This window comes from Homo sapiens, chromosome 6, assembly GCF_000001405.40.
Source record: "Homo sapiens chromosome 6, GRCh38.p14 Primary Assembly".
Classification (NCBI taxonomy): Eukaryota; Metazoa; Chordata; class Mammalia; order Primates; family Hominidae; genus Homo; species Homo sapiens.
In genome coordinates this window covers 170023430-170047196 of record NC_000006.12, presented here as the reverse complement: position 1 = coordinate 170047196, position 23767 = coordinate 170023430, and the positions used below count along the sequence as shown (strand labels likewise).

Below are 23767 nucleotides of genomic sequence, written 5' to 3'. Positions count from 1 at the left end.
ATAGGTCTACAGGTCCTATAGATCCCATAGGGCGAGGTCTGGAGCGGCACTCACAATCACTTCTGTGTGGAGGGCTTGGGGAGGTTTCTGAGGCTCCTCATGACACATATGTTTTTGTTTTTCTGCAATGGGCATCTTTTGCAATCAAAAACCAACATCAGCTCTTGTGAGAAACGTGAAACATACATCTAGATTCAGCCTCGTGGCTTCATGCCCATATTCAACACCCGCTTCAGGAAATCCCTCCTCAAAAAATCCAGAATTTCGTCGGCGGTGGTCTGCGGTGCTTCCTCTTACTCACGCAGCAATCGGCGTCCTGTCTCGTGTTGGCCACTATTTTCAGATTAAAGTTTTTTCCCTGAGCCACTTTAATAATTCGAAGCAAACTGAAAATACGGTGGTTTCTTCCTTCTTTTTCTTTTGGTTTATTTTCTTTCTGTTTTTCTTCCTCCCTCCCTCCTTCCCTTCCCTACTTCCAACTACGCACAGTTTTTCTATAATCACAAAATACTAACTGCGAGAAGGAATAGAGAAAGCATTTCTTTTCTCTGTGACCTGCGAACACAGGGCAGTGATGGATTGTGCACTGCCACGTTCCGAGGTGGAGACCAGCAGCCCTGCATTGACAGTAGTGACTTTCCTCATGCAACGAAGCCATGCAGAGACAGCTACAATGTGCTTATCATTTGGGGTGGCAGCTGGCTTCCGACTCTCACAGGTCTCCTCACCTGCAGCCGTGCGCACACCCCACAAAGAGCTGGCATCACAAAGTTAACTCAGAGCCCAGAGACGGGAGATGTCCAGGCCCAGTGGAAGGCTCCGGGGAAGGAGTGTTGTCTCCCTGTCAGAGAAGCACTTAGACAAGCACTTGGCTTAAAGTCAGAGTGGAGAACATTCTTCTTCATGCAAAGTTAAACGGGAGTGAAGCCCAGGGCAGTTCTCATTCGCTCAGATCTGCCAAGAAGCCGAAGTGCATGTAGAGCCTGTCCTGCCTCACAGAAGGCCCCGCACACCCACCACAGGCGACCACGCACCCCGTGCCGCCCACACCACCCACCACAGGCGACCACGCACCCCGTGCCGCCCACACCACCCACCGCAGGAGACCACGCACCCCGTGCCGCCCACACCACCCACCGCAGGAGACCACGCACCCCGTGCCGCCCACACCATCCACCGCAGGAGACCACGCACCCCGTGCCGCCCACACCATCCACTGCAGGTGACCATGCACCCTGTGCTGCCCACACATGCCCTAGGTAGACCTGTTGCCTGTGGCTGTAGAGGAGATGGAAGCCATGCATTCCTGAGACACACGTGGGCTTCCAGGGTTGCCAGGTGGAAATTAAAGCCGCATCACATGACCCTCATGTGGATGGGGACGTCTGAACCATCCACAGGGCTCAGGAACAGAAACCTGGTCAGGTGACCAAGAGCAGGCGGAGGCCACACTGAAAATGTTGAGTTTGGGTCTTGCACCAGCAGGCCCTCAGGGTCGTGGATGGGTATCACTCTTGATGCTCATGAATGAGTGTGTCCTTGCCAAAGTCCCGGCCATAACTGGGAGTCCAGTTCTGTGGGAAGTGCTGCCGACCTGTGTGTTAGGCAGAGTTTAAGAAACTGAACTCTGGGTGCCAGGCCAGAAAAGCCAAGAGACGTTGATCTAGGATTGCCTTCTTCTTTTGCTGTCCTGGGATTAAGGCACCAGAGAGCAGACCCTGGTCACAAAGCATCACAAAGACCAAGGTAACAACTCAGCCAAACTCCACCTGCCTCTGCCACTTGATGCCACCGGAGATTCTGTGTCACTTCGAGTTCCTGACTTTGCAGTGCTGGGAGTCTGGAGTTGGCCAGACAGCACCACACACATTTCTTCATTTTGCTGGCTTGCCAGCCGTGCTCAGGGTGCTTTCCCACTAGACCAGCAGGGATGACAAAGGTCCCACTGAGACAGAGAAGCCCACAGGTCCAAAGTCCTCAGAAGCAGCCGCAGTACCAGGCAGACCTGAAAGAAACGCTTCGAGGACCAGGAAGAAGTGATGGAGGAGAGAGGGAATGTGGGCTCTGTGGAACGGGGGTCTCCCATGTGTAGGTTCCCTGGAGCACAGGTCCTGGAACTTGGGGCTCCGTGGACACAGCTTCATGGATGCAGGTGCTGTGAACACAGGCTCTGTGGAACATAGGCCTCCCATGTGCAGGCTCCCTGGAGCACAGGTCCCTGAAACATGGGGCTCCGTGGACACAGCTTCGTGGATGCAGGTGCCATGAACACAGGCTCTGTGGAATGTGGGCCTCCCATTTGCTGGCTCCCTGAAGCCCAGGTCCCTGAAACGTGAGGATCCGTGGACACAGCTTCATGGATGCAGGTGCCGTGAGCACAGGCTCTGTGGAACGTGGGTCTCCAATTTGCCGGCTCCCTGGAGCATAGGTCCCTGAAACATGGGGATCCGTGGACACAGCTTCATGGATGCAGGTACTGTGAGCACAGGCTCTGTGGAATGTGAACCAGCCCTCTCACTTAGCCACAGTGGCCACCTTTCAGCTGGGGACATGCATCTGGCAGTAGGCTCTGGCATCCAAGTTTGGCTGTGTTTAGTTAGGACCACAGATATTTTCTCTTACCTGGTGTGAGCCAGGGCCACAGCTCAAGGGCTCCTGCACAAAGGGCTGGTTAGTGGTGTGCAGATCCGAGCTCAGGGACCCTCCTTTCCCAGTACAGTCTGGGTGTGCACCTCCAGGCGGCTTCCTTATCCTGAAATGAAGGCAGTGCTGCCAATTCATCATCACTGTGGCTATTTTGAGCTACTTGTTTTCTTGCAAAATAATGGTCAGTGTTTTCTGAGCCTGTTACATGCCAGGCATAGTGATAACAACTTTACACCTGATGTGTCACAGCCCCTGGTGGGCACATTCACTTGTACCTCCTTTGGGTAACTGGCCAGTGGAGATCCAGGCTCTCTCACAGGTCATAGGTCTGGGCCACATCAATGCTGTCTCCCCATCTATTCTTACCTGTGTGAAAGACGGCCCACCTGCCTCAAAACTGACTGTTCAGCCACTGACGCAGGCAGTGCTGTTAGGGCCACACAGTGTTCAAACTTAGACACTGCCATTTGGGATGAGGCACTGTGGAGACCGCCTCCTGTGTGGCGTTGCAGGGAGAAGGGAGCAGCCCCGTGTGGAGGGTCCTTCACACCCCAGCTCTGCCCTCATTGTAAATACTTCTCTGCAGGGACAAGTCTGTCCTGCACCGAGGGACACAAAAGCCTCTTCCACCTCAGCCTTTAGTCTAGTGGATCCGTACCAGACAGGTATGAGGTTATGCAGGGCTGCAGCAATTCTTCAGTGGCTGGGCTGTTGAGACTCTGAAGATGTGATCTGGGGCGAGGGGGACCGTGCCTGAATGTAAACGCCGGAGAAAACGGTGGCCTTTGATTCCTGACATGTGGATGCTGTGGCTGCAGTCCCTGATAGCGCCTGTCCTCACTTGAGGACAGCCAGTATCTCAGCCAGTGGGACCCTGTGTTCCAACTAGACTGCTGGCATTTTTCTGGATCTTGTTACTCTGGGACACCCGTTTAAAGAGGTGGCTGATATGACAAATGTGTTAATAACGGACGTCAGATTGTTCTGCCATCCCTGCACCAAGGACACACAAACAGCCATCTCCCTCTACAGGGAGCATTCGGCTAGACCACAAGTCTCTGAGGCCGGCTCAGAGTGGGGGTCGTTCGTTTCTGTTCCTCCAGCCAACAGGCTACCTGCCTGTGGCCAACTGAGCCGAACCGAGCCAAATCTTTTATGGATTTTGAGTAAATTTTCTTCTTGGGAAGAAATGGGTATGACTTTGAGTCATACCACGTGACGTCTAAAATTCGCAGATTATGAAAAGGGGATTTTTTTATCACAATATTTTGGCTGATTATAAAATCAAAGTAATGTAGCACTAACAAGAGAAACCGTGGCTGCGATTGCGCTCCTGAAGTTATAAATACAGAGTAAACACATCCTCTGAAAAGGAGTTTGGAAGAAGGAGACTCCAGTGCACAGTTTGCAAACCGGGAAGATGCAGCCTTTGGTGTAAACAAATGTACCTGGAGAACAAAGGGAACGTTCCGGTTTTATAGCAAAAGCTCCCACCCAGGTCTCAGTCAGGTCTGTGTATCCAAATGAAGGATTCAAACTTGCTTAGTTCTGATTGGTCAAGGCAGCTGAGTTCTGATTAGTTGATAACAGTCGGGTCTTGATTTGGCCAAAGCCAGTGAGCTCCGATTGGTTGGATTGGGTGAGCTCTGATTGGTTGGATCAGGTGAGCTCTGATTGGTTGGTTCAGGTGAGCCCAGAAAGTATCCCAGGTGCAAGGGTGCGGTTTTGGGGGGACTCTGTGTTTGTATGACCTATAGACAGCAAACGGCCGCTGGGCTCTATTTTAGCCACTCAGGATCCACCTTGAAGGACTGGCTCTTTCAGCTTCACCACTGTTCCCAGGAGTGGCCGTCTCTCATCCGGCGATACCTGGTCTTACACTGGGCTGAGAATCGCATTCACGCTTATTCTTATACTTTACGGTCTAAAATGCTTTGCTGTTAGCTCTTAGGTTTAAATCCCAGTCCTACTTATTAAACATGGAATTTGAGTAAGTAATTTACCTTTTTCAAGCCTCAATGTTCTTGTCTGAATAAAAAGGAAATGATAACACATCTGTCACTCGGGGCTGTTGGGAAGACATCCTGAAATCATTACTATGGCCACACTCTTGCATCCATTAGCTTCTAGTGTTTTGTGAACCAATTATATTCAAATCAAATTCTCCAGTGTGACTCAACAATCGCCATGTCCTATTCCATGTTTAGAAACATGACCTTTCCCTTCTGAATCTGCAAGGGAAACGGGGCTGTTTCCAGACAGTAACTGACCTTGAGCAGGGGCTGAAAACTGGCCCAGGGTCACACCTGTCCTGCCACAAGTCTGTAAGTGTATTAATCTGTTCTTGCACTCTTTATAAATGTCTAGAGGCTGGGTAATTTATAAAGAGAAGGGATTTCGTTGGCTCATGGTTCTGCAGGCTGTACAGGAAACATGGCCGGGGAGGTCTCAGGAAACTTACAGGCATGGCAGAAGGCAGAAGGCAACGGGGAAGCAGGCATGTCTCACATGCCCAGAGGAGGAGGATTAGAGATGATGGGGTAGGGGTGGTGGAGGTGCCACACACTTTTATAAACAATTAAATCTCACAAGCCCTCATTCACCATCACGAGAGCAGCACAGGAGAGAAATCCGCCCAATAATCCAATCACCTCCCACCAGACCCCACCTGCAACACTGGGGCTTACCATTTGACGTGAGATGTGGGTGGCTCAGAGCTGGGGTGCTTCGTTATCATCTTGCCAGCCAAGATGCTGCCCACCTATGGCAAACTGGGCTGAACTGAGCCAAATCAAGTAAAGTTTATTAGAATATAGCCCTGCTCTTCTGATCACAAACTGTCCCGGGTGGTTTTCATGTCACAGTGGCAGAGTGGAGTAGTGTGGCCGGCAAGGCCTGAAGTATTCACTTTCTGGGCTGTTACAGGAAAAGTTTGAGGGCTCCTGGCGCAGAGAAATGCTTCTCACACCTTCCTGGGCACAGGATTTACCTTGAGCCTGGCTGGAATGATGGTTTTGATTCCTGTACCTGCAGTGGGACCTGAGATCCTGTGTTACAAAAGGCCCCACATGCACGGGTGAAATTTTTGGTAGGAGAATGACAGACCCCTCTGCACCTGGCCAACGACGCTAGGGACAGCTAGCAGGAAAGTGGACCCCCCTGCCTACTGGGTCTGCACAGACCCCATCAGTAAAACACCTTCGTTCATTTTAAATTTCACTGGTGGCAAGAGAGGAGGCTCTGGGCTGATTAATCAGAGCAAAGAAAGAAACTTGTAGCCTTTGCTATTGTGCACAAAAAGAGTCAAACGCTAGAAAATATTTGAAGAGATTTATTCTGAGCCAGATATGAGTGACCATGGCCTGTGACACAGCCCTCTGGAGGTCCTGAGAACATGTGCCAAGGTGGTCGGGGGACAGCTTGGATTTATACACTTTAGGGAGCCATAAGACACCAATCCAAGACATTTGAGAAGTACATTGGTGAGTGGCTTGGTCCAGAAAGGTGGACAACGCAAAGCTGGCAGGGAGGGGAGGCTTCCAGGTGTCAGGTAAATTTAAAGGTTTTCTGGTTGACAATGGGTTGAGTTTGTCCAAAGACCTGAGATGCAGCAGAAAGGAACGTCTGGGTTAAGATAACGGTGTGGAGAGCAAGGTTTTGTCATGCAGATGAAGCTTTAGCTAGGAGGCTGCAGACAGAATAGGGTGCAAAATGTTGTTGTCAAAGTCTGTGCTGCTGTTAGTGAGGGGTACAATGAGACGTGTGTGACCCCCGCTTCCCGTCATGGCCTGAACCCACCTCTCAGGTTACATTTTAAGAGCCCTGGCTGAGGAGGAAGTCCATTCAGATGACTGGAGGGCCTCAGAGTTTTGTTTTTGGTTTACACTTTTCAAACAGAGATGTCTTTCTTCCTTTTGCCTTTCTTTTCTGAACAGCTGTGACTTCTGCTTGGACGTGGATCTGTGGCAGCCACACGCCTATGGTGGGACCAGTTCTTTCTTAGAAGCACAGTGTGTGACTGTCTTCTCCTGGGATCGAGGACAACTCCACGGCCTCTTCCCTTAAACAGGGATCTGATCCTCCCAGTAAACTTTCCTTCCTGTCGCGTGCTTGGGTACTCTATAAAAATGGAAGTTTAATCAATATTTTAACTTACATATTTATTTATAGACGCCTGGTTTCTCAAGGACTTCAACCTCTAAGTTCACAGTGGTGTTCCTGAGCACCCGGGCAGTCACTCCTGGCAGATGGTCCGAAGCTCAAGGCCAGGCTTGGGACATTCCGGCGGCCACCCTTCCCCACCTGGCTCTAACAGACTCCCGATGAAACCGTCTTTCTGCAGGGGGTGGAAGGGAATGGGGATGTTTTGATTCCTGGGGAGATGATAATTTGATTTTTCAAATCTTGAATATGGACATATGTGATAGGCAGTTAGCTAAGAAGATATTTATTATTCAAAAAGGAGAATCACTTTGTAACCTCACAGTGGGCAAGCAGTGGTAGCATTGTTCCCCCAGTGATGGAGGCCCACAGCCAGTGGTGACCACTAGTACTTCGTAAGCCCCAGACACAGTGCCCCAGCAAGGACATGGTGGACCAGCAAGAACACATAGGAACAGCAAGGACACGGTGGGCCAGCACGGACTCAGAGGGACAGCAGGGACACAGAGGGACAGCAGGGACACGGTGGGACAGCAGGGACACGGTGCACCAGCAGGGACATGGTGGGACAGCAGGGACACGGTGGGACAGCAGGGACACGGAGGGACAGCGGGGACACAGTGGGACAGCAGGGACATGGTGGGACAGCAGGGACACGGTGGGACAGCAGGGACACGGTGGGACAGCAGGGACACGGAGGGACAGCAGGGACACAGTGGGACAGCAGGGACATGGTGGGACAGCAGGGACACGGTGGGCCAGCGGGGACACAGCCAGCGGGGACACGGAGGGACAGCGGGGACACAGTGGGACAGCAGGGACATGGAGGGACAGCAGGGACACGGTGGGCCAGCAGGGACATGGTGGGACAGCAGGGACATGGAGGGACAGCAGGGACATCGCGCCCAGCAGGGACTCGGCATCACCTCTGTGGCATTCTTGCCGATAGTGCCTCACTTCAGTCCAATTGGACAGACCAGATAGTTGGCAAAATAACTGATCAAGTCTTCCAACGTGTCAAGGTTCGAAAGACAAGGGAGCAGCCACGGCCACAGGCAACTGGACGCAGGGGACCACCCTGATGGACCCTGGAGCAGAAGCCGGGCCCATGTGGAAACACCATGAGGTTTATCTGAAGTCTGCGTTTCATGAATAGCACTGTGTGAGTGTCCTGGTTCTGGCAGTCGTGCTGGGGCTAAGGGGCTAACTCAGGGAAGTTGGATATGGTGTGTCAGGAAGAGCTGTTATTTTTGTGACTCTACTGTAAGACTAAAATTAGTTAAAAGTACAAAGGTAAACAGAAAATAAAGAATGTGTCTGACATCGTTCAGAAGAGTTTGCACGTCAGCTAGAAACGGAATGACTTCTTCCCAGAGCCTGGCTGGGGTGGTGACTGGAGGTGGGCTCCCTCATACCTTTCCGAGGGTCGGCCTCCTGATTCATGCACACCAGATGCACAGGCCGTGAGCCAGAGTGTTTACTTCCTGGTTCCACTTGGTGTGCACGTGGGAATAACCCCCAGGGGTTTGTAGACGTCCAGTGAACTGAGCCCCCCTCAGACCCGCTGAGTCCATCCAGATCCTCTGGGATGGGAAGAAAGCATTTGGGTTTTTGTGAAAAAGAACATTGGCTTGTGGTATCATGTTTTATAAAAGACTTCTTCACTCTTTCAGAACATTTGCTACAGGATAACTTGCCAACTTATTTTCAGGAGTGTAACGTCTATGTAAAATTTTCCCAGGTTGGAGGCCACGAGGACCAGCCCTCTGCCACGCACAGATCTGAGAGCTCGCACTGTCCACAGTCAGAGGTGAGCTTGGGCCGGGCTTTCCTGGTCATCAGGGTGGTGTCCGTGCACATCCCCCAGCACAGCTGGGAAGCAGGACCCAAGTGCTCATCATGAATCTGACCTTCGCCCCCACTGCAGCCGTCATCCCAGGGAACACAGCAGTTACTGTAGCACTCATCCTCCTAACAGGACCTCCCCCCAGCAGCCCTGAGGGCAGGGATCCTCCTTGTTTCTGTCTCACACAGAGAAGGTGCTTAACACTGACCTTTATCTTTCAGCAAGTTTCTAAGCAGAGACATGCAGAGCTTTCTGCTTTCACATTTGAACTAGTGGGGTGGAGCCAAACCCCTGGTCTCTAGAAGGACATGCAGGTGTGCCAGGTGCCCAGGACAGCAGAATGTCCATGTTGTCCTCAGGGCCCTCGGTGGGAAGCACCCATGGCCAGCGCTGAGGGCACCGTGGTTGTCCCCATCCCTCACTGGCGTCTGGTTCACACGAGGATAACTCGAGCACCCATACCCCCACACCCTCCCCTGTGACAGTGTGGGAGGGTCCAGAAGTGTCCGGAAGCTGACTCTTGGTGGACATTCGGAGCACAGAGCATCTCGCCAGCTGTTTTGTGCTACCACGAAGGTGCCAAATGCCACGTCATGCTTTCAGAATGGAGTGTTTTAATTGAGATATTTAGCTAAGATAAACAAGACTTTTTGTCATGTCTCATTTGCTGGAAAATTAGCAGATTGAAAAGGCTTGGGGGATAGGCACATGAGAAGCATTGCAAAACTGAAACTGAGCCTTAGTAAGAGCTGAGACGTGGGTGTGATTGGAGCGGCCTCTGAGAGCGTGTCTGGGTGGGGGCTGCTGGTCCTGGGCCCTGGGAAGCAGGTCCAGGTTGGGGCTGCTGGTTCTGGGCCCTGGGAGGTGTGTCTGGGCAGAGGCTGCAGGTCCTGGGCCAGGTCAGGAGCTGGGATGTCCTGCTGGGACCCTCAGGCTCTGGCAGGTAGTCATGGTGAAAATGGCTTGACCCCGAACACCTGAAAGGTGATTCACTGCTGCTCTGGCAGAGGGGAGGGATAATCCTCTACTCTTAGCAGAGGATCCTGTGGGGCTGGGTCTCTTGGTGGAGATGCCTGGGAGATTTTGAGTGTCCCAGAGCACATGGGGCCGACTGAGAAAATTTCCAAGTGTTCCCTCACCTCACACTCAAAATGCTTGCATTTCAACATCAGAGTTAAACTCTAACAAAAATTAAACAGGCACACGTTTCCCCAGGGTGTTTTGTGAACCTTCAGAAGTTCTGGAAGGGACTGATGTTTTTGCCTGTGTGTTAGAGGAGCAAGGTGTGTGATATGGTCTGGATTTGTGTCCTGCCCAAATCTCGTGTTGAATTGTCATCCCCAGTGTGGGAGGAGGGCCTGGCGGGAGGGGACTGGATCACGGGGGCAGATTTCCCCCTTGCTGTTCTCATGATAGTGAGTTCTCGCTGGTTATTTAAAGGGGTGTGGCACCTCACCCTTTGCTGCCTCTTGTGTCCCGCTCTGGCCACAGGAGTCATGACACCTTCCCCTTTGCCTTCTGCCCAATCGTGAGTTTCCTGAGGCCTCCTCGGAAGCAGAAGCCTGTACAGCCTGTGAAACTATGAGACAATTAAACCTCTTTTCCTTATTTTCCTTATAAGTCACCCTTATAAGGCAGTTCTTTATAACAATGGGAGAATGCAATGATACAGAAAATTGGTACCAGGAGCGGGGCATTGCTATAAAGATCCCTGGAATGTGGAAGCTGCTTTGGAGCTGGGTAAAGGGCCGAGGTTGGAAGAGTGTGGAGGGCTCAGAAGAAGACAGGAAGATGAGGGAAAGTTTGGAACTTCCTAGAGACATGTTAAATTATTGTGATCAGAATGCTGATAGTCATATGGAAAATGAAGTCCAGGCTGAGGAGATCTCAGATGGAGATGAGGAACTTGTTGGGAACTGGAGTAAAGGTCACTCTTGCTATGCTTTAGCAAAGAGGCTGGAGGCATTGTGTGCCTGCTCTAGGGATCTGTGGAACTTTAAACTTGAGAGAGATGATTTAGGGTGTCTGGCAGATGAAATTTCTAAACAGCAAAGTGTTCAAGATTTGGCCTGGCTGCTTCTAAAAGCCTATGCTCATTTGCATAAACAAAGAAACGATCTGAAATTGGAACTTAAATTTAAAGGGAAAGCAAAGCATAAAATTTTGGAAAATTTGCAGCCCTGCCATGTGGTAGAAAAGAAAAACCCATTTTCTGGGAAGGAATTCAAGCTGGCTTGCAGAAATTTGCATAAGTAAACAAGAGCCAAATGTTGATAGCCAAGACAATGGAGAATATGCCTCAAAGGCATTTCAGAGAACTTCAGTGCAGCTCCTCTCATCACAGACTCAGAGGCCTAGGAGGGAAGAATGATTTTGCGGGCCAGGCCCAGGACCCCACCACCCTGCGCAGACTTGGGACACTGCTCCTTGTGTCCCAGCTGCTCCAGCTCCAGCCATGGCTAAAAAGGCCCCAGATACATCTCAGGCAGCTGCTCCAGAAGGCGCAAGCTGTAAGCCTTGGCAGCTTCCACGTGGTGTTAAGCCTGTGGGTGTGCAGAGGGCAAGAGTTGAGGCTTGGGAGCTCCTGCCTAGATTTCAGAGGATGTATGGAAGCTCCTGGATGTCCAGGCAGCAGCCTGCTGTAGGGGCAGAGCCCTCGTGGAGAACCTCTCCTAGGGCAGCGTGGAGGGGAAATGTGAAGCAGGGGATGCAAAAACCCTCACTGTGCTTCCTGTGAGGGCCTGGCAGAGCTACAGTCTGAAGTCAGTGCTCTCCCATCAGGAAGGAGTGCTGGTCAGTGTTTGTGCCCAAACCATAAAAGAGAGGGGTGACATCAAGTTGGTGGAAATCAGCATGGTCTCGTTTGAAGGGGCTGTATACTGTGTAGCCCTCAGGGAAGAAAGCCTAATGGTGCTTAGTGAGGGAGGGGGATCACGAAGCAAGTCTGACCTCCCCTCTGTCATGGCTGGGAACTCAGTTTTCAAGGTTTCTCAGAGGTCCCTTTGGCCAAGGGGAGGTCATTTCAGTTGGTTGCGGGCCTTAGAATTGTATTTTTATTCCTCATAGTCATATATTATTCCATGTAAATTGACAGTGGCTATGAGGAAGCTAAGGAAAGCCGGCAAGTACTAAAAAGAATTGCAGCAGTTCTGCAAATAAATCTCAGGATGTCTCTAAGTTGCATCCATTTAACAAGATGCCTACATAACATGTCAATCACTTAGCAAGATGCCTGCACAACATGTCAATCATTTAATAAGATGCCTACATAACACGTCAGTCATTTAGCAAGATGCCTCCATAACATGTCAAGATGTCCCTCACATCCAATGGACAAAAGGGGAAATAGAATGGTAGTCATAGCCATTTTGCTTTTTGCTGACTGTGAATATGAGCTGTCACACCATCAATGTGCTGTTTGGAAAGAGTTTCAGACATGTCTCAAAGTCCCTTGCACCGTTTGGGAACAAAATATGATCTCTAGAGAAGCAGATATTTAAACATCTGAATAAAAATATTCTAAACTTTGGATCATAAAAGTCATTTGGAGACATAGTACATGCAAGTAATTTGATTTTCTAACATACACTCAGTCCTTAAATAAAATAGAAAATAGTCGTTTGCTTCAAAAGTATTGATGAGCCATGGGTTTTTCTTACATTTACTTTGAAAGTGGAGTAAAGTGCATATAACACTTGCCAAATGAGGAAATTATAGGAATATTTTTAAAGATCATATGTAAATGGACCTTGTAATACATACTTCAACCATAGATAACTTTAAATACATTATTTATTACTTAAGATGTGTTTGTTTTCACATACTAATAAAAATCAATGAACATTCATTATCCATCCCAAGAGGTTATGGCCCTGAAGAGAGCCCGGGGTGAAAAACCCAGGCAGGCGGGTTAGGGCCTGGCTTGGGACGTTCTCAGTGGCAGACGCCATGGCGAGGTGGCGTGTCACATCTCCAGTGTGGTGATCTGTGCCAGCAGCCAGGGCTCTTGACTGGACTTCTTTGTTTAAAGCTGTATCCCTGCCCAACAGGCTGAGAAACTTTGCAGCCTGGGCACAAGCCTCTGCCTGCTCCCCGACCTCACCCTCCCTACATGCTGCAGATCTCGTGGACTGAATGGCGCCCCCCAGTCCTGCGCTGAAGTCCCAGCTCCCAGTGAGACTGTATTTGGACTCAGGGCCTTCGGGTGCAACAAGAGACCTGTGTCCAGACGTCCCTTCCCTCCCCTTCTCTCCAGGAGCCCTCGGGCAGGGTTGACTACACATTTGGGAACTAGAGGGATAGGTTCTTTCCCTCAGAAGCATGCGAACTGTTTCTTCCCCAATTTCAGTTTTGATTCTTGGAGGTGATTTGGGTGTGGAGGACTCTGAGACCACAGGTGCACTAGGTAGACTAGAGGAGGAGGGGCCAGTGGGGCCCCCCAGGAGGGTCAAGCATCTGCTTGGCAAAGACCCCTGGATGGAGCAGCCAGACCCAACTTCCAGGCCTCCTCTGCTGTAGATTTGGAAAGAGTGTGTCTGTTGCGGGCTGGGTCTGGGAAAGAGTGTGTCTGATGCAGGCTGGGCCTGAAGGACAGGTCACTTTGAGTGCAAATGGCTTGAGCAAAGGGCAGGGCAGAAAAGCAGGGCCAGGTGGCAGCTGGGAGCACTTGGTTTGTCTGGGACTCAAGAGAGAAGGGTGCCATGGAGGTGGGCTCGACACTCACCCGGGTGCTGATGGGCTCCACACCCAGGAGGAAAGAACTTCCCTGTGCTGGATACTTGAGTAGGGTATGAAAGCTCTGTGCTGCAGGAAGGATCGTGGGTGAGGGTGTGCCAGGCAGACTGGCCAAAATGGATGGGGATGAGGGGTTCCCTTGAGAGTTAGGGGTAGAAATTGGGAAAAGGGGTGATTTTAGGAGACAGTTCAGAGAGAGCAATGACCTGACTTCACAGTGGTTTGCATGGGAGCATGAGAGTGAGAAGAAGCCCAAAGTTTGGTTCTGGCTGCCTGGTGGATGGTGGTGCCAGCACCGAATCAAGGTGCCCAGGGGAAGAAGTGGGATTTGGAGGAATTCAGATCAAGTGTTGAAATGTGAGTTTTAAGTGCTGATGGAACATCTGGTGGAGATATTCACAAGAAGTTGGGAAGATACAGTTACAGAGGAAGATGGTACTGGTGGCAAACGCTACGGAAGTCAACTGCTGGTGTTCCCCAGTCTGACTTGGGCATGTCTCCCTCTGCCCCGGAGGAACCCTCCCAGCAAGCTGGGTGACCTGGGGTCTGACTCCTGCAGAGGAATTGCATGTCTGGTGGACACTGCCTCTGGTGATCTGAAAGATGCCATCTGTGTTTGAGCTTGGTGCAGCCTCAGTAGCTTAAACATTTGTCCCTGAGCACCTGTGGGTTTGTGGTGTAGGTAATGCCTCCGTGCTGTGTGTTTGTAGGACATGATGACTGGCCCAATCTCTTGTACTGTGCAGAGCCACATATCTGAAGTGTGGTGCCCAGGTCGGCCATGGTAGCTCCTGCTGAATGCATGCAGCAGAGACACCCTGAACACTCACTATCTCTTTCTGTGCATTTAAAACATTTGAGGCCTAAGAGACGGAAACACCCTGTTCTTTATGGGCTGGGGCCATGAATTTGCACGGACCCGTTTACGGAGAGGGAAAGGTTGGGGTCCTGGATACCAGCTGGCGCACGGGTCCAGATGGAGTGGTAGAGATGGAGAACTGGAGGGTGCCAGGGTGACAAGGCCCTGCCTGCAGCCTGCCCTGCAGAGCACTCTGGAAGGAGGAGGCACAGGCAGCAGGAGCAGCATCTCTTTTCTTCTTTCTTCCCCTGGGCACTTGTTCTAAATTGGGAGTGAGAAGAGAGGGAGAAATAGTGTGCAGACAGCCCTGGACGTGTGCTGTACCCTCAGGCGGAGCCACCCTCAGTGCTCCCTGCTCCTGCTCTGTTGCCTCTCTCCAGCTCACCCTGTTCCTAGAAGGGAGTGTCCAAGGGAAGAAGCAAATGTCTCATGTCTCATGAGCCCCTGGATCCCCCGACTGGGCTTTTCTGGCTAGTGCCATGAGCTGCCCCAGGAGATGGGAGCCACACTGGGACTCTGGCCCTAACGTGGGGCCACCTCTGGGCTGCTGCTTCTTGCCTGCCATGCAGTGGGGACAGGCTGAGGTCCAGGGGCCTTTCCGTGCTGATGTCATGGCCACACAGGGTTCCTGCCTGGCTTTCCACCAGCAGGTATGTGACCTGCCCTCCGAGTCTCCTCCCTGAGCCCGGCTTTTTCCTGGGCTCTGTGTCCTTGTTGGACATTTGGGGTGTTGGGGGAGATACAGACCGCAGAAATGGTGGGTCCTCTGGCCCAAACATTCCCTTACAAATTTAATCCTAATTCCAGCCACCTTATTCACTGGAGAAGCAGCAGGCCTCACCCCATGTCCTCTCCCACCTCTCCCAAACATCTGGTCTCCATTGAGCCCTGGGCGCTGTGAGCTGTCCCTGTTGGGTGTAGAGGAGGTGTAGATGTTAGTCCTCTCTGGTTTCGGGCTGCTGGTTATGAGGAGCTCATAGCTCGGGCTGGTTGGATGGGGGCACACAGGCCAGGCGCCCGGTGATGATGCCCAGTTCTCCCTGTGACCGTGGCCTGAGGTCTCCTGTGACGCCAGGCGCCTGTCACCCTAACTTATGACTGACTCATGGCTGCCTTTGCTGAAGGCGGAGAACTCTGGCCTCCCTGGCCCGTCTCTGTCCTGGGAACGCCTCAATGGATATGCCCCATAAATGCACTTTTATACACTTACTATGACTGGCAGTGATGATGTCATTTGTTAATAAGAATAACAATAAAAATGCCTGGAAATGGAGAAAAATGAACCACATAAGAAACCTGTTTCTGATTTCCAGAGCACCAGAGCCCAGCTGGGAGGTGACTGTCCAGATCTGGAGCATTCTGAGGACTTCAGAGGGCTGCCTGTGCATTGATGAAGAGCATAAGAAAGAAGACAATCCTTGCTGTTCTGGGGAGACCTCAGGGATGTTCCCAGGCCACATTTCCAGACACAAGACCACAGAACCCCAGCCAGGAGCGGCCACCAGCTTTTGCCGGGGGCTTCAAAAGCCCACGTCTGCATCCCGGCTGCGTCCCCGCAAGAACTGCGTGCTGCAGGCACCATCTGCGCCGAGCTGGGACTGAGCCGGCCTGGCTCCCCTCCCTTTCAGCAGGGCAGCCCCACAAAGGAGAGGGCCTGCCAGCCCCAGGTTTGTGTAAATATTTACTGGGCTGTTCAGGCTGCTGTGATTCGAGGCTGTTGCCACACCACAAAACAGACCAGAAAATGAGCTGGCACGTCCCCGAAAATGAGGCTGCTGAGGCACTGGGGCTGTAGGAGAAGGGCTTGCCATGGTCCCTGCCCTCAGGCTGCAGGGGGAGGGAGGGCTGGGCTCTGGGTTTGCTCAGGCAGCACAGCCTGGGGCTGCCCTGGGGAGGATGGCTCAGGCCTCCAGGAGAGGCCCAGGAGTGATGCAGTGGGGAGAAGGAGCAGCTCCAGGACAACAGGGCTGCCGCCCCCACATCCCTCCACCCCAGTCACCCCAGGCATCAGCACAGCAGCTCATTTTATCAGCACCTCTCACCTCTTTAGGGGACTAGGCACCAGGAAGCCGGTGGGGCACTGGACGCCTGATGTTCCTTGTCCAAGAAGCTCACTTCCTGTGGCTGCTGCGTCTTCTCTCAGGGAGGAGGCGTGAGGGCATTTTGCTTTAGGATATCGTATGTGGGATCCAGAAATTCTTACCCTTACCCTCTCACTACCACCAGAGACACAGTGGTGACAGTGGTGGTGCGGGGGTGTGCACAGGTGTCCACACATGTGAATACACATGCAAACACGTCTTCACATGTGAACATGTGCAGACACATGGATGTGTGCATTGCACTTGTGTGCACGTGTATGACTGTACCGTGTGTGTGGGCATATGTACTGTGTGGACATGTGTAGACACTTGTGTGTGCACATGAGTCCTTGTGTGTATTGGACAGTCAAGCGTGTTGCATTTTGAGAGTGGGGTCCTCGCTCACACCTTGCTGCATGATGGCCTGTGCCCACGTGGAAGCAGAGACCAGAGCAGCTTCCACAGTGAGGAGCTCAGAATGCTGTTCCTGAGAGGACAGGCATGGCACTCGCACCTTGACACGTACGTCTCCCTGTGATTTCAGGCAGTGCAGAGCTGGGAGCTGCAGACTCACTGGAGGCTCTGGGAAGCTCCAGGAAGGGATGTGGAAGCCAGGTGTTGAAGCGTTTTTCAAGCAAGTGACAGGGGCATGGGCCAGCTTGGTGGCCACAGGACCACAGGACTGCAGGACCTCGGGTGCAGGTCTTAAAGTGCCTTTCAAGCAGGTTACAGGGCATGGACAAGCTTGGCAGCCACAGGACTGCAGGACCTCGGGTGCAGGCGTGGACCAGCTTGGTGGCCACAGGGCTGCAGGACCTCAGGTGCAGGCGTGGACCAGCTTGGTGGCTGCATGACCTCGGGTGCAGGTGTGGACCAGCTTGGTGGCTGCAGGACTGCAGGACCTCAGGTGCAGGTGTGGACCAGCTTGGTGGCTGCAGGACCTTGGGTGCAGGCGTGGATCAGCTTGGCGGCTGCAGGACCTCGGGTGCAGGCGTGGACCAGCTTGGCGGCTGCAGGACCTCGGGTGCAGGCGTGGACTAGCTTGGTGGCTGCAGGGCTGCAGGACTGCAGGACCTCGGGTGCAAGTGTGGACCAGCTTGGCGGCTGCAGGACCTCAGGTGCAGGTGTGGACCAGCTTGGTGGCTGCAGGACCTCGGTTGCAGGTGTGGACCAGCTTGGCGGCTGCAGGACTGCAGGACCTCAGGTGCAGGTGGGCATTTCATTATCATCGCTGCTGTTTGCGAGATGATGCTTGGGGTGGTTCAAGCAGCTGCCGGGACATCATGAAGGAGGGATTCCACCTGTGCCAACCCCACCCGGCTGTGTCAGGATCACCTGGGGCTTTTAACAGTGCCCGGACTCCAGCCCAGACCAATGAGGCCTAAATTTCTGGTGATGCCCAGGTGTGAGCATTTAAAAATATATATATCTACAAGAGATTCCATTGTACGACTAAGATTGAAGGTCATTGTGGAATTTCCGTCAGGAAAATGGCCCTGAGTTTTACAGAGGTCACTTTGGGGTTGGTGCAGGGCATGGACCAGGCGGGAAGGGCTGTGGCAGAGGTGGGGCCGTCTGTCGGGCGGCACTGAACGCCCAGGCGGCTGCCTTCTCTTCTACATCCAGCCTCCTGCTGCAAGGACACAGAGGCCCAGGACCTCCTCCCAGCACCTGAGCACCACCCTGCTTTTGCCCATGGACACGGAAGTCTCCAGCTCCCAGGCCCCCTTTGACATCGTCAGGTGTGCCAGGCCTTGATTCATCTAGCCTAAAACACAGCGTTTAGCAACAGTTCACTTGAAATATAAACAAATTCCCAGTTAAAGGAGCTTCTGCCGATCAGAGGGTCTGAGGGATCCTGGGTTTCAGGTTGAAAGTTCTGGCTGGGCCTCTGCTCTGCCCTTCTCTGGCGGACAAACCCCACCCATTGCCTGGCTCCGCTGCTGGGCTTGCTCCAAAGTCCCCTTGGAGTCAAGGCCACTTCGAGGCTCCACACCTGTGCTCGGCTCTGCTGGCTGGGAGCAGCCTCTCTGGTGTCCTCTCTGTCTTGAAGTCACCTCCCACCTTCTCCGAGGTGGCCTGAGAGCAACCAGGCGGCTTCTTCCTGGTCCTGTCCCCACAGACAGCCACGCGCTCTGGGAAAGCAATGCACGGCCCAGGATGCCGTGCCCATGTGTACGCAGAACCCGGCCCTGGAGTGGCACAAGCTGGCTCGCTCTGTCCCCACCTCTCTCTGTCTCCATTTCTCCCTGTATCTCTCCATTCCTGTCTCTCTGTTTCATCTCTCCCTGTCTATCTCTCTCCATCTCCACCTCTCTGTATCTCTCCATCTCTGTCTGTCTTCATCTCTGTTTCTCTCCATCTCTGTTTCTGTCCGTCTCTGTATCTCTTCATCTATCTCTCTCTCTCCATCTCTGTCTCACTCTGTCTCTCTTCATCTCTGTCTCTGTATCTCTTCATCTCTGTCTATCCCCATCTCTATCTCTCTCCATCCCTGTCTTTGTCTCTCTCTGTCTCTCTCCATCTCTGTCTCTCTCCATCTCTCTCTGTATCTCTTCATCTCTGTCTCTCTCCATCTCTGTCTCTCTCCATCTCTATCTCTCTTCATGTCTCTCTGTCCGCCTCATCTCTGTCTCTCTCCATCTCTCTCTGTCTCACTCCATCTGTCTCTCTTCATCTCTGTCTCTGTCTGTCTCTGCCTCTCTCCATCTTTGTCTCTCTTCATCTCTGTCTCTCTCCGTCTCTCTCTGTCTGTCTCCATGTCTGTCTCTCTCTCCATCTCTCTCTGTCTCTGTCTCTCTCCATCTCTGTCTCTGTCCATCTCTGTATCTCTTCATCTCTGTCTCTCTCCATCTCTGTCTCTCCATCTCTGTGTCTCTGTCCCCATCTGTGTCTCTGTCCATCTCTGTCTCTCTGTCTCTGTCTGTATCTCTCTGTCTCCATCTCCATCTCCGTCTCCCCACCTCCCGCTCGCCAAGGCTGCTCCCCTCACCAACTCCCCTACACCATGGCTTCTCCCTGTCTCTGACTCAACAGGGACTGAGTGCAGCAAGGGCCCTGGGGGAGGTCTGGGCTTTCTACTGCCTTCTGGTTACAGCTTCTCCTCCCCCGTATCTGTCCTTCCTCCTGGCCTAATAAGTCCACATTTTATTTATGTGTGAGTACATGTGACAACCAATAACTAATGTCCCAATTGAAAAGGAAATATAACACAAACTTACCTTAGTTTGTATAATATCAACTTTCTGTCTCAATCCAGGTCTTGTCCAAAAAGTATTGATTGAGGCAAACCCCTGGTACAAAATAGAAATTTAGTGAAATTCAGCCCATTTCACTTATGTAACTCCATCAAGGGCCTATAATAATGGCACTTATGGCTGAATAATGAACAGTAATGTGCTTGGAATGTAAGCAGAATGTAAGCTACCCACTTGTACAATCTTTCCTAGGAAAGGCAACATCGAATCTTAAATTAAGTTCAAGTGCTAACAGACATGAGAGTTCTTGGTTAAACTGTGAAATGTACTTTGATGTAAGCCATCCTTCCTGCACATGGCCGAGAAGTTCACCTCTACTTTATAGCAAGGCTTCTTCAAAGAAAAGCCTTTCTTCAATGGAAAGACGTCCTTCAATTTACATGCTAGGACAGGCATGGATATTCATGGACGGGCTTCCTAAAGCAGATATATCCACCCATTTCTTAAAATATTTGCCTAGACAGTTAAGACCTTTGTATAGAGGCCTGGCTGGGATTAAGGAGCTCGCCTGAAGTGCCCAGAGTGGTGGAGGGTGTGGCTGGTCCCAGGGTCAGAACACTCATGCCTGTGTGACACACCCCAGCTGTGTGGCCTGGGTGTGTAGCTCACACTCTCTGAGCCTCCGTTCCTCCAAGGACAAAATACAATAGTCTGTCTTGTCTAGCACTGAGTTTGCAGAGGGGCCACCACCAATGCAGGCGAAGAGCCCGGCCTGGAGCCTGGCTGAGAGGGCAGGGATGGAAGACGTGATCGTGGGACAGTCACATGAGAGTGCTTTGGAAAGTTAAGGCACCACAGAATCTCCAGGTGTGCTCTTGCTACCAGGCCATGACCCGCCTGTCCACGCGCCTGCAGGGTGTGGGTACATGTATATTAAGTGTGCTGATGAGATCGCATGCACGCCCAGCAGGCCTCCCGCCCTCCAGGCACGTAGAAACCTGGGCACAGCGCCTGAACAGGCAGGTCCAGGAGCCAGGTGTTTGGCGCCAGGTGCGCGTCTGTGGAATTTGGCTCTACAGAGGTGACTCAGCAGCCAGGCACTCAGGGCCCCCCGGGTGCTGAAGCGGGGGCAGAGCCCGGGCCGCCCAGGCAGGTACTGTTGTCCAGACTTTCACCCAGGAATGCTTCTTCCAGCTTTTCTAAAAGGGACACTGGCATCGGTCCTATCCTAGAAATAAACAGCCAGGAAACCCTACCCCTGAGGCATCTCTGCCACAGGCCTCCTGGTCAAAGGCGGAGCCTCCCCAGCCCCGGGCCTGCCCTACCCACCTGAGGCTTCCCAGTCTGAGCTGGTCAGCTGGGTTAGCTCCCTGCACTCCCTCCCCAACCCCCTGGCCACGCCAGCAGGGTCAGGGGCCTCCAGCCTGAAAGGATGGGAAGTCAGAGAAGCAAAAACAAAACCCCAGATGTCATCTTATCACCACCACACAGCAGAACTGAGCCGGGTGGTGCACCTCGCAGCCTTGCAGCGATGGTCTCAGTGGCCCCTAGGACAGCAGGCCTGTGAGGTGCTATGAAGATCCCCATTCCCATGAGAAACCTGTGGCCCAGGCAAGCCTGGGGGCCAGGGACTCGCAGCTCCTTAGGGGCAGAGGTGTCGTGGTGCTGGGGCCAGGGGCGGCTTGTAGATGCCCTGAAGCAGGTGCCGCTGCATATGCAGGTTCAAAAGGGAAGACCCACAGCCCACGGTGGCATCATCGTCATTTGCTGGCATGTGGGTTAGAGGCCCATCAACATCAACATGCTCCCTCCCCACACCCATGCCCAGTGAGAAGGGGAGACCCACAGCCCACGCCTCCCGTTTGGTGGCACCGTCGGCTGGCGCACAGGTTAGAGGCCGTCCACATGCTCCCTCCCCATGCCCGTGCTCAGTGGACTCTTGAATGCGAGGTTAGGAGGTCGTAGGCAGATGCTGCTTACCAGCAAAGGGGACATGAAGGCTCAGGGCGCCCGCCTGCTTCCAGGCCTCTCCTCCGCTTGGGCTGTCTCCTCCCGGGCGTCTACTGGGACCTCGTCCTGGTTCCTTCCTCACTGGCTGCCCCTGCCTGTCTCCCGCCTTCTGACCCCTGTCCCAGGAAGTCTGGCTGTTCCCTGTGACCAGAGGGGATCCAGCTCCACAGACACAGTTGTTTGCCTTTCGTGGGTGGTGCCAGCATCTGCAGAGAACAAACATGCCCTGCAGTCTCTTCTTCGCTCTGCTGCCAGGCTAAGTATTTGTACAGAGGACAAGTGGTCTCGAATCGGTGGAGGCTGGAGTTCTTGACACTTCACTGTACACACAGATACGTCGAAAACTGGAGAACAAACCAACTTTGAACACTTATTAATGGACGACCTTGAAGATCAGGAACAGTTACCCTCTGAATGTGTTGTGCTTCTCCAAATTCAACCCACGAGCAAATGCCTGTCTTCAGGATCCGCTATGTGTCCTGGGCTAATGTTCCATCTGTTGTTCAGTGCTGACGCTACACCAGAGTTGGGTTTCTGCCATGAAGGAGGCTAGCGGTGCTATGCTGACCAGATGTTGGGTTTCTGCCATGAGGGAGGCTGGTGGTGCTGTGCTGACCAGATGAGCTGCTGTTGTTTTTTAACTATACAGTGACATTTATTCACAATTTGCAGTTACCAAAGCAAACATTTGTTATTTGCCCCCACATCACAGAGGACTATGTTATTTTTAATCTCCCTTATACAGTTGAAAAAATGAGGCTCAGACATTTACCCCAAATCATAGTTTATTAATGGCCACATCTTTTGGCCAACGCTCTGAGGTTCCTTTATGCCTCACTAACACAAAACGCACATCCTCAGGACCAGCTAGTGTGTTTGAAAGGTCAGTGTTTACTTTTTCTCCCAATTTTTTATTGTGGTAAATACAGGTAACAAAAAGTGTGCCGTCTTAACCATTTTTAAGTGTTCAGTTCAGTGGCATTAAATACATTCCTACATGCAGACACCACCATCATCTGTCTCCAGAACTCTTTTTGAGTAGGCGGTCTTATTGCAATTAAAAAATAATTTATAGATGAGAGAGCAAATAAACTGATTTTAAAACATGGCCCCCGGGGATCCCATCCAGTGCCTGGGATCAGGGGCACCCGGGCTCAGGGGCGGTCTCCTCCACCATGATGTCACCAGGCTCGGGGTGGACTCCTCCACCGTGAAGTCACAGGGCTCGGGGCGGTCTCCTCCACCCGTGACGTCACCGGGCTCAGGGTGGTCTCCTCCACCGTGAAGTCACAGGGCTCGGGGCGGTCTCCTCCACCCGTGACGTCACCAGGCTCAGGGTGGTCTCCTCCACCGTGACGTCACAGGGCTCGGGGTGGTCTCCCCCACCGTGACGTCACCAGGTTCGCGGTGGTCTCCTGCACTGTGACGTCACCAGCCTCGCGGGTGGTCTCCACCGTGACGTCACCGGGCTCACGGGTAGTCTCCTCCACCATGACGTCCCCGGCGTCTGATGCCTGCGCCTCCTACAGAGTGGGGTTCAGCCGGGCTGGGCAGGGTCCAACCTCAACACGTTTAAAGCTCCCTGTTCATGGCCGCAGGGAAGGGTCACTCATCCAGCCCAAGCAGGAGACGTGGGCTCCGTCTTGAGACCAGGGTGGCCGGTGGGCAGAGGCCCCGTCAGCGCTGCGTGAAGGGCTGGGAGGCCCCGCCAGGTCTGGGGAGGGGGCTGTGACCCTTATTGATGGGGCGTGGGGAGGCGCTTGCACGTCTGGGGCGCACACCCGGGGGACCCCACCTCCAGGGCCATCTGATCCCATCTGCAAGATGGAACCACACAGCCCAGGCGGCTGCGGCGCCCGGAAGGCGGCCCCACAGGCCTGTAGCTGAGGCGGGAAGGACGCGCCCGCCTGTTTCCTGCGGCCTGGGGCGGCCTCGGGCGGCCTCCATAGCACCCTCCCCGAGCGCCTCCCAGGATGCGCCTCCGCCCCACCCGGGGTCCCCTCGGCCACCGCCTGGGAGCCTGAGCTTGACCCTTTCCTCAGCTGTGGCCTCAGGACTCCGCTCCGTCGTCGTGCCCGCTGCGCTCCTCAGAAGCCCGTGGGTTCCCAGCGCCTCTGCGCCATCTCTCCTCAGCCCGCGCGGGAAGCGGCGCCGAGCATTGCCCGGCTGGCGAGACCTCCCGTGAGGCGCGAACGCGGCCTGAGGAGAGCCGGAGAAGGGCGCCACCTCCCAC

At 53.0% G+C, this 23767-nt stretch overlaps 1 long non-coding RNA gene across 1 annotated transcript, besides 2 other annotated features; it reads right to left on the bottom strand.

Moving 5' to 3' along the window:
* Positions 9246–9979: an enhancer, noted in NCBI's record as "H3K27ac-H3K4me1 hESC enhancer chr6:170352442-170353175 (GRCh37/hg19 assembly coordinates)". NCBI's record gives its function as "activates a minimal SCP1, AML or CMV promoter by ChIP-STARR-seq in primed H9 embryonic stem cells {active_cell/tissue: H9 hESC(primed)}" and the evidence as "EXISTENCE:reporter gene assay evidence [ECO:0000049][PMID:30033119]".
* On the bottom strand, positions 11801–23430 carry LOC105378150 (uncharacterized). Its single transcript, XR_943318.4, has 3 exons — positions 21505–23430; positions 19549–19620; positions 11801–18462 (listed from the first exon to the last, which is right to left on the bottom strand). It is a non-coding gene; the product is annotated as an uncharacterized LOC105378150 (long non-coding RNA).
* Positions 17380–17885: an enhancer, noted in NCBI's record as "H3K27ac-H3K4me1 hESC enhancer chr6:170344536-170345041 (GRCh37/hg19 assembly coordinates)". NCBI's record gives its function as "activates a minimal SCP1, AML or CMV promoter by ChIP-STARR-seq in naive H9 embryonic stem cells {active_cell/tissue: H9 hESC(naive)}" and the evidence as "EXISTENCE:reporter gene assay evidence [ECO:0000049][PMID:30033119]".
* Positions 23431–23767: the final 337 nt, after the last annotated feature.